The following is an 11,521-nucleotide window of genomic DNA, read 5'->3' as shown; positions in this document are numbered from 1 at the left end:
AAGACCGAACCCATGCCCTCCCCTCTTCCCCAGCCTGGAATGAAGTAGCCACGTTTACAGAGGAAAAAGACATAAAAATCAGCTTTTTCAACACTGTCAGCACTATGGGTGGTTTCTTTCTAAAGCCAGAAAATTTGGTAAAAATGAAGGGCAGCTTAAATTTGACTTGGTGAAGCCAAGGGAGAGACAAACATAGTTATCCTAAGCAGTACTGCAGCAAAGTAAGGTATGATTGCTTCCATTCTTTGAAGATAACTCCAGCCACCATTTTTCTCAGAAGTCCTAACTTTTGCATTATGTGTGGGTATGAACTTATATACCCACGAATATTTATAATTCCAAGATGCAACACTCACGCTTGCATTTTCTAAAGTCAAAGGCATGGAAATGTCTGTGACGCTGTGCTGGAAATCAGATAACTTGCTAGCTGCGTATCACAAAGGAAATGCAAAGAAAACAAAGGATCTACAATTGTTAACTTAATGTCCCCTGTCACTCAAGGGACTTTTGAGAAACACAATTTATAACTGTATTAATCTTTTCCAAACACAGACTTCAAAAATAAGCAATAACCTACTCTGATAATAACTATATAGCTATGAAAAAAATCACTCATTGAATCATAATTTGATTAGTCCTTTTTCAGGAGGCTCTGCGATAAAACTTTGCTTTATATACAGGATCACAGACTTTTGGAGATTGATGAAGGCTTGTTCTATTCCCTAATTTCGTATTCAGATGAGCAAAGTTGACCTGGAACAGTCAACTGGCTGTTCCAGGGTCACCCAGCAATAGTGGGCAAGGGAGAGCAGAACCCGCCCACTACTCTGACACTGGCGTCCCTCCGTTGCCCCACCTGTATACAGCAAGCATTTATTTATTATCACCCCATTTGCTCCACGGAAGATGAAATACATAAAAGCCTCCATACCAGGACCAACAAAGCCTACCTAATGAAAAGAGACAGGTCGCAAAGCATTTGGCAGGAACGGAGTCATTTCAGGTGGTGACTGGTTTTAGTCTAATTTATTTCTGAGTGAGGAAGATGCATTGATTCATTTTTCTGTCAACCTAGTCATACCACTAGCTTTTCATCATCGTACATATCCATTTGTTACATGTTCTTACCAATGCAAGTTCCTGTTCACAAGTATTTCAAACATCAAGATTTTAAAATGTGTCTTGAACCTAAAACCATTTTTATCATTACAACCTCAACTTATAAACAGGTTGTGTTCAGAAGTCCATTTGCACATCATTTTTGTTTTATTTATTTATTTTTAACTTTTTTTTTTTTTTTGAGACGGAGTCTCGCTCTGTTGGTGGAGCTGGAGTGCAGTGGCGCGATCTCGGCTCACTGCAAGCTCCACCTCCCGGGTTCACACCATTCTCCTGCCTCAGCCTCCCGAATAGCTGGGACTACAGGCGCCCGCCACCACGCCCGGCTAATTTTGTTTTTGTATTTTTAGTAGAGATGGGGTTTCACCGTGTTAGCCAAGATGGTCTCTATCTCCTGACCTCGTGATCTGCCCGCCTCGGCCTCCCAAAGTGCTGGGATTACAGGCGTGAGCCACCGCGCCCTGCCTATTTTTAACTTTTTGAGACTGAGTCTCACTCTGTTGCCCAGGCAGGAGTTCAGTGGCATGATATTGGCTCACTGCAACATCTGCCTCCCAGGCTCAAGCAATCCTCCCACCTCATCCTCCCAAGTAGGTGGACCATAGGGGCACACCACTATGCCTGGCTAATTTTTTGTATTTTTGGTAGAGATGGGATCTCACCATGTTGCCCAGGCTAGTCTCGAACTCCTGAGCTCAAGCAGTCCACCCACCTTGGCCTCCCAGAATGCTTGGGATTAAAGGCGAGAGACACCACACCTGGCCTTGCACTTCATGTTTAGAACCTGGAACTTACTTTCTACCAGAAAGGATTCTAAAAATAGAAATTAGGTGCCCAGCCAGGTCTTCCCAGGAGTCTAACCCACAAAGCCCATAGAGTCACTCAAGCGGCCCCCCAAGCACTCACGACCCGGGAATCTGAGCCCCTCCTCTTTCCTGCTTCTCCTTCATTCAGGTGAGGACAGTAGTAGGAATCCAGCCCTTTTCCTCTCCCAAAGTCCACTAAAAGAAAACCCAGAGAGCACACCTGAAATGGAACCTCTTCCATGTGACTGAGAGCCAGTTCAGCTGCGGTGTGGCCAAGATTTTCATTTGGATTCCTCCTGCTGCTGGGGGACAAACGGCTCCCCTAGAGCCTCCTTCCTCAGACCAATTGGCTGTGGGCCTTTTGCACTGGAAATTCAGGAAAATCTCGTAGTACAAATCTAGCTGACAATGAAGGTTCCTGAAAGTTCTACCACTCTCTTCCTAATTCCAACAAGATAAACAGTTTATACCCACCTCAGTGAGATAAATATGGGCTTTGGAGCCAGACGAAACATGAGTCTAAATCTCTGCCTTCCACTTTCTAGTGAAGTGTCTAGTGTCTCCGTGAGACAGTGCATATGTGGACGCTTTTATCCCTGGTGTCTGGTGCTCCCCACGCTATGGCACCAATCTCCCTCAGGAGTCTCCCTCCTCCCAGCAGCATTTCCGGTCACCAGATGCAATGAAAACGGAGAGAAAGGTAAAGTGAGAAACACTAAACAAAGGAATGGTGATACGGCACAGGTTTCTCTTAGGGCTTAATTCTTCACAGTGTCATGGGGTGAAGAAGGGGAGCTCTCTTTCCCAGGAGGATGGAGGAAGAAAGGAAGGCAGGTTCTGTGATCCCCACAAGACCTGGGACTCCCTGCTCACCAAGCCCCATTCTCACTTGGCTTTCCCAAGTGTGCTGAAAGGAAGGATCACAAATACTTGGGAAGGTGAAAGAATAAAACACACTCCACCAGCCTGAGCTCCATCCTGCCTTTAGAACTACTGATAAACATCAGGGATTTTTCTGTGCTAGCAAGGAGGGACATAAGTCTAATCATGCACATCTGTTTTACAAAGTTATCCATCTCCTTCTCCCAGCAAACCCCTCTGATTTGAGTTCTACTGCAAATGCCAACCACCTCTGCAGGGTTTCCCATGATGCCTCATTCATTCAGCAGAGGCACATTAACCACCTATGATGTGTTCATCACTGTGCCCAGTGCTGGAGTCACCAACCACAGGCCATGCAGATAAGGCAGAGGGCAAGTGTGCTAGCTTGAGATTGGACTTGCTCCTGGGCAGCCCACCTCCGTTCCTTACCAAAGTGCCTTCAATCGCTGGACTCCAGGTTTCAGGCTCCACCACTTCACACAGCCCTTCACACTCCACTTTTACATGTCTCTGTCACCGAGGGACTGGGACATGCAATCCCTTGCTTGAGTCACATGGTTGGTTAGTGGCACAACAGGAACTAGAATCATGGACCCTCCTGTGCTCCTCCCTGGACCACTAGACCAGGCTTCCTTTGAATTGTCTACTTGGTCAAGGCTGAGGTTGAAAGTAGGAAGACATAGCCAAAGTTTAATGGAAGAAGGAAGGTGTATGAAGCCCAAATCACATCCACACATCAGTTTTCTCCTTGTGCTTTAGTTTCCTTGGATGTGAAATGAAATTGATAAATGAGAATCCGGTCTCCAGATGATTCTCCTGAACTGCCCCTCCTGGCAGAAGAGCAGGAGTGAGTATATGTTTTGCTCCTAAGGACCAAAACCCAGCCCACAGCAGCCCTCTACAAAGCAGTAATTTTTTGATGTTCCTTGTTTTCACTGAAAAAGAAAATCAAGTCCAGTTCTGCATTTTACACCGTAGTACAGTTGGATTTGTTTTAATATAAACAAATATGAATACGCTTATCCTGTACAAATTTTTGACCAAAATGAGTCTCTGGAGCAATGCACCAGCTGACCCTGTGGTTTCTTGCACTTTTGTCACTCATCTGAGTCCTAACGGGTACATGGCTCAGTGTGAGATGTGGAGACTTACACATCTCCTAAATCTCACCCGCACATCATGCAGGCGTACACTTGAGCTTCAAATAAAAAGCTGGGGAGTCACACTCAGGTTTGGATAATGAGTACCGAGAAGAGATCAATTCAATAATGATTTTTGCATTTATATGTGCTCCATATAAATGACCTCCCCCTTGCACCCACGCCAGCTTGGCCCAGGACCCAAGATACCCCTGGAAGAGGTTCAGTCAGGTGCCAGGCAGAGTTGTCCGCTGGAAAGAAACACACCTGCTCCCGCTTAACAAACTAGCATACCGTGGATCTTCACAATAATGTGGAACAATGAGGGATTGCTTTTCAATGTTTAAAATCACTCCATCATTTACTAATCACTAAAAAGTTTATTGTCAACTTCTTGTGAAAAGCAACCACACTTCTTTTTGATAGCTCTTAGTAACCAAAACTTTTTTTTTTTTTTTGAGACGGAGTCTCGCTCCATCGCCCAGGCTGGAGTGCAGTGGCGCGATCTCCACTCACCGCAAGCTCCGCCTCCCGGGTTCACGCCATTCTCCTGCCTCAGCCTCCCGAGTAACTGGGAATATGGGTGCCCGCCACCACTCCCAGCTAATTTTTTGTGTTTTTTTTTTTTTTTATATAGACGGGGTTTCACCGTGTTAGCCAGGATGGTCTCAATCTCCTGACCTCGTGATCCACCCGCCTCAGCCTCCCAAAGTGCTGGGATTACAGGCGTGAGAGCCACCGCGCCCAGCCAGTAACCAAAACATTTTAAAAATTGTATTTAAGCACTTCCTTTTGTAGGGTAGCTAATGCACTGTGCAGGTATCTGCTCAGATTTTGGAATTTTCATATGTTCTCTCTGTGGGATGGATGGATCCCTCATCCATCCACTGAGTTAGAACTGGTAAGAGTTTCCAGCCTTCTGATTTTCTGAACACGCAGTGCCGAGGTTAAGATGGAGGGCAGGAGTTAGTGGGAACCCTTTTGTTATCTATGAGGCTTCATTTGCCTAACTTTCATCATTTCTGAACCTCCATAAGGGCAGTTTATTGTATTATAAAAGGTTATTTGCATAAAAATCTTCATTTGTTTTCTTGAAATTATGTTAACAGAAAAAACAGCACACGACAGTATAAACACCTCTCACACAAACAGCTATCAAGAGATAATTTAAATGTTTTCTAGGGAGGCCGAGGTGAACAAATCGCTTGAGGCCAGAAGTTCAAGACCAGCCTGGCCAACATGGTGAAATGCTATCTCTACTAAAAATACAAAAATTAGCTGGGTGTGGTGGTACATGCCTGTAATTTCAGCTACTGCCGCGAGGGGGTGGGGGTTGGGGGTTGGGGGCTGAGGCAAGAGGATTGCATGAGCCCAGGAGGCAGAGTTTGCAGTGAGCTGAGATTGCCTGGGTGACAGAGAGAGACCCTGTCTAAAAAAAAAAAAAAAAAAAAATTTAAATTTAACATTTATGAGGGCCTTTTTTCTATGAAGTTGCCTGTATTTCCATTTTTTTTTTCAAAAAGTATATCTGTATTGGAGTTAAAAATGGTTTGATGGAATAATATTTCAACTAACTGAAATTATATTTTAATTATTATCCATCTCCAATATTTATTATAGTCCTAGTGTACAGTTTGTTGAGCCCATATTTTCCCTGAGGACTGAAGTCACTGTGAGTAAACTGCCACAAGGTTATTTTATTTCTGGAGGTTGTCTCCCCTAAGTACTGTGAAAACCTATCCTCTTGACGGGGTGCCAACATGGACATTTTCTCATTCACCGAGTAGGAGAAGTCTGCAGGCACTTTTCATTATTTAAGAATTCATGGCCCGGCGCGGTGGCTCATGCCTGTAATTTGGAAGGCCGAGGCAGGCGGATCACGAGGTCGGGAGATCGAGACCATCCTGGCTAACACGGTGAAACCCCACCTCTACTAAAAATACAAAAAAATTAGCCGGTGCGGTGGCGGACACCTGTAGTCCCAGCTACTCGGGAGGCTGAGGCAGGAGAATGGTGTGAACCCGGGAGGCGGAGCTTGCAGTGAGCCGGGATCCCGCCACTGCACTCCAGCCTGGGTGACAGAGCGAGACTCCGTCTCAGAAAAAAAAAAAAAAAAGAATTCACAGCAAAAGATAAAAGCTTTTATTTTTGTTATTTATTTTTGTTTTATGAACGTGGCCCTTTCAGCTTTATAAGAACAATCCATATCGGTGTGCGAAAACCACACACAACCACTCTCCCGAGGAACACACATCCAGGTAGCCGAAGCCTGAATGAAACAGTATGTTTGCCCTTGGTTTTCATGGAAGCCTCAGGTCCTCCTACCGCCTCCCCAAGGCCTGTGCTCATAGCTTTTCTAGACCCTAGGAGACTGGACCCGGGCAGCCCGCTCACCTCTGCCTCGCTCTTTAACTGCAGCGCCCTCTGGTGTACGTCTTGATTTTAGCAGCCGAAGTCACTGGCCCTGTGTCATGCTGCTGGTGCGTCCTGGTGGTAGTTTTATCTTCTGTTTCTCTCAGGTAGCATCTAGAGATAAGTTAGAACGACAAGAGTTTGTAAGAAAAAAATAACAATAAAAACTCTGGAAGCCAGATTCTCCAATGCCCACCATAAAATGCCAAGGAAATAACCTCACTCTCCCCTAAGGACCTGGAGACATTGGCTTAGGAACTCACCTCATTTAGGGCAACTGCCTCATCTGAAAGACAAGAAATGAACACCCGGAGGAGTTAAGTGGCTTGTCAGGCTGATACAGTGAGTTGGGTTGACCACCTAGGCCTTCTGCTATCTATGATGGAAAGAGCTACAATTCACTGAGTATTTATTACCACGAGCCAAGCACCATGCTAAGTCTATTACAGGCATTGGCTTATTTGAGGCCCACAGCAATATATTGAGGTGGGTACTATCATGATGCCTATTTTACACACAGAGAAGCATAAGCTTTGCAATCAAGACTGAGGAAACGTGCATGCTCCATGTCACACAAACACAGGTTTTGAAGCAGGCAGTCTGACTGCAGGGCCGGTGCTTGAAACCACTACTGATCTTACTGTCTTTGTGGCAATTGTATACTTAGATATGGATATGCACATATGTAGATACATGGATACAGGTGTATGGATGTACATGAATTTACACGTGTATGATATATCAGTAAGCAAGATATGGTATCATTTTGCATATTTTGAAACTTAAACCAAATGGTATTATAATTGTATGTACTTGGAGGGCAGATGGGGGAAGGATAAATCCATTCACCTGCTTTCTGCTGTGCCTTCCTATACTACAGAAACAGGAAAGCTAAAAACTACATTTCCCAGACTCCTTTACAACCAGAGTCAGGATGTGGTGCAGATTCAGTCACTCTAATGTGGGGGAATTGCAGCAGGGACCAGGCATCTGCTGCTCTTGCTGCCAAGCCCAGCAGGGGAGATATTCAGGTTTCTGGGCAGCATTAGCTGAGGTCTTGGGCTCTGGTCGCTGGCTCTGAGGTGCTGAGAGCAGGGCACGTGGCATCCACTTTGAAGCTGAAAATCTTCGCAGGCACAGTGGGGTCTGGAGCAGGCAACAGCGGATGTGGCTTCTGAGGGTGGTAGGTTTCTGATTATGGATGGATTCCTTCCTTGTCTTGGTGGCTTCCTAACTGTGGCAGTAGTGATGTGGTAAAGAGTCAGCAGCCTTTTGATCCTAGTGGCTCACATGGGCTTTGGATGGCTTCATGGGGCTATGCAAACAGATGTTGGAGTCCAGAGTCTGCCAAGAGTGGGACTGGACCCTCGGAGTAAAGGTGGACTGAAGATCAACCAGTCTTCAAACAGAAGGCAGTCCAGGTTCAAGGCTTCTGAATGTCCCAAAATATCTCAATTCCTGCAGCAAAATTCAAGCAATTTTATAGCTACAAAGTGCCTGATATAAGCAAATGAAATTCATTTCTGGAGGAAGGTAATATCATCCTATTTTTTTTTTTTTTGAGATGGGGTCTCATTCTGTCACCCAGGCTAGAGTGCAGTGGCACGATCACAGCACACAGCAGCCTCCACCTCCCAGGCCCAGGTGATCCTCCCACCTCAGTCTCCCGAGTAGCTGAAACTACAGGTGCATGACACCATGCCCAGCTAATTTTTGTATTTTTACTAGAGACAAGGTTTTACCATGTTGCCCAGACTGGTCTCAAACATCTGGCTTCAAGCCATCTGCCCCACCTCAGCCTCACAAAGTGCTGGGATTATAGGAATGAGTCACTATGGCCAGCCCATCCTACACTTTATATTCTGTCAACAGCAATTTTTAAAACATCGTATCCAGAACATAGACAAAGATAACCAACCACATAGGGAGATAAGATAGCAAAAATGAGAACCAGCTGAAATGTGCAACAGAGACAGAAGATACATGGAACCTCTAGATCAGTCCTCTGATAGAAATATAATGCAAGCCACAAGTGTGAGCCACACAGGGAATTTTAAATATTCTAGTGAACAATATTTTTATTGTTCACTAGAATATTCAATATTTTTATTGAAAAAATAAAAAGAAACAGATGAAATACATTTTTACAATATTTTTAACTCAATATGTTTTAACTCCATTTTTTAAACCAAAACTATTATTTCAACATGTCATCAATAGATAAATGAATAATTAGACATTTGACTTTTTTTTTTTTTTGAGACAGAGTCTCACTGTGTCGCCCAGGCTGGAGTGCAGTGGCGCGATCTTGGCTCACTGCAAGCTCCGCCTCCCGGGTTCACGCCATTCTCCTGCCTCAGCCTCCTGAGTAGCTGGGACTACAGGCACCCACCACCACACCCGGCTAATTTTTTGTATTTTTAGTAGAGACGGGGTTTCACCGTGTTAGCCAGGATGTTCTCCATCTCCTGACCTCGTGGTCCGCCCGCCTCGGCCTCCCAAATGCTGGGATTACAGGCGTGAGCCACTGCACCTGGCCGACATTTGACATTTTTATACTAAACCTTTGAAATTTGGTGTGCACCGTATACTACAGTACATCTCAATTCAAAGTAGTCACATTTCAACCTTTCAATAGCCTCATGTAGCTAGTAACTGCTGGGTTAGACCTCGCAACTTTAGATTTAAGAATTATCTGGCCAGGTGTGGTGGCTCACGCCTATAATCCCAGCACTTTGGGAGACCAAGGCGGGAGAATCACCTGAGGCCAGGAGTTCAAGACCAGTCAGGCCAACATCATGAAACCCTGTCTCTACTAAAAATACAAAAATTAGCTGGTGTGGTTGGGCACGTCTATAGACCCAGCTACTCAGGAGGCTAAAGCACGAGAATCAATTGAACCCAGGAAATAGAGGTTGCAGTGAGCCGAGATGGCACCACTGCACTTCAGCCCGGGCCACCCAGGAGACAGAGCAAAACTCTGTCTCAAAAATAAAATAAAATAAAATAATTATCAGGCAGGGATTTAAAAATAACTATGCTTACTATGTTTCAATAACTTTAAAAAAATGAAAAAACAACAGAAAAAAATTCATTACTTCAAATGTAAGATACATGGGCTATCGAATAATCTATAAGTATAAAACTAAATAACTGGAATGAAGAACTCAACAGATGGCTTTAATAGCAAATTAGACAGAGCTGAAAAGAGAAGTGTAAACTGGAAGGCAGGTCAAGAGAAACCATTTGGAATGCAGTACAGGAAGACCGAAGGGTAGAAAAATTTAGAAGAGACAGTAAAATTCAGAAGCCACAGCTGCTGTGGCAGACACTATGGAATGGTTCACCCCACATTTAATTGGAATCCTAAAAGCACAGGTAAAAGACAACACAGAAGGCATATTTTGAGAGACAATGGCTGCAAATTTTAAAAACTGGCTAGGAGGCTGTTATCAAATTGTCTTTCCTATTGATTGTATTTTATCAACAGTTGCTTTTAAATTTTTCTCTTTTAAGTTGTTCTCTTCAAAGATATTCTTCTTGAAGACGACCTTTAAGATATTCTGCAATTTCATCACAATGCACCTAGGAGTGAATTTATTTTTATTTATTCTAATTGAGATTTGTTATGTTTCCTAAAATTGAGAATCTATGTCTTTCATAAAATCTGAAAAGTTCTTAGCCATTAGCTCTTTGAAAATTTCCTCTCCCTCATTTTCTGCTCTCCTTTTGGAAGTCCAGTTAGAGGCAGGTTGGCCTTTTTCATTGTACATCCATATCTTTACACTTCTCTCTTGCAGTTTCAGCATGAAACTCTCTCTCTACCAAATTTTGAATGATTTCTTCAGATCCATCCAGTTCAGTGACTTCATCCTCTATTTAATATGCTGCTTCATCAGTGTGTTGAGTTTCAAATTTTAATTAACATATTTTTCATTGCTGTAAGTGCTGCTTGGTTTTTTCTATTTTAGATACAACTAGTCTTTTTTGACAATGTCTCAATATTTGCAGTGTGTTTTATTATGTCTTTAATGATTTAAGGATACATATTTTACTATTTTCTTTGTAGTTCTAATATCTGTAGTTCTTCAGGGCCGAACCTACTCTGTGGGATTGGCTCACTCACTTACTGTGGTTTGACTCGACACATTCTGTAGGTTTCTGAGCTTTTTGTGGCATGGCTTTCTTACTGCAGGAAACCTCTGTTGCCTACGTGAGGTTGTGTTCTGCAGAGATATTATGTTTGATTCTGTTCAATGCCTGTGGATCTCCACAAGCCAGGGATCATTTTTGTTAATTTTTTGGCTTGCACATTCCCGGATCAGTCAGGTAGAAAACATTCTAACCCTTAGGAAAGCTGCAGTGATGAATCCTCGGGGCAGAGTGCTTTACTGGATTTTACATGCACAGTGCTGCTCTCGCTGGTCATCATTGGTGCTGCTGTGGCTCTTTGTTAGTTTCTTGGGTGGAAGAGGCACCTCAGCAAAAAAGCTTTGAAAACAAGATTTGAAATAACTTTATTTTGAGCAAAAGCTTTTCCTGGTTTTCTTGCTCTGTTGTTGCTATGGCACGTGGTGCCTGCCAGTTACAGCTAAACAGTCAGTTTTGCCGTTTCTAGGCAGAAAAATGCTCAAATCCCAAGTAAATGTCCAGGCATCCCAGGAGGTGACTCTGGTAATGTGTATTTTCATTACTCATTTCCACTCTTAAAGGTACAATTCTCCTGACGTTTTAACATTTTCTAGGGTGCCATCCTGTATGTTAAATCCAAAACTGATGATTTCTTCTCAAAGGCAGTGTTACCATAATTGACACAGTTTAGATATATTATAAAAAGTATTGAAATCTATTCAACATTGTTCATTAAGCTTCTGTTAGGGTCATAAAATATCCTGTCACGTCTGATTAACTCAACTAAGTTCAGTTTTTAAACGACACTGCTGTTCTACAATGTGCTATTTGTTGTTAAAGCCTAGAATTTATAAGTGTTTCCAGTAACTGAAAGAGATTGGGTATTTTACTAAGATATCTATTACAATTATCATAAATTTAAGACTGTGGGCCGATTTTATGAAATCTATAAAATATAGAAATGATAGGAAGTAAAAATGAATTTAATAGAGTTCTAGCATTCATTTTGTCTAAAAGCCAATGTCCAGTGAA

This window comes from Homo sapiens, chromosome 6 (genome assembly GCF_000001405.40).
Source record: "Homo sapiens chromosome 6, GRCh38.p14 Primary Assembly".
NCBI lineage: Eukaryota > Metazoa > Chordata > Mammalia > Primates > Hominidae > Homo > Homo sapiens.
Note: the sequence above shows the minus strand (reverse complement) of the source record.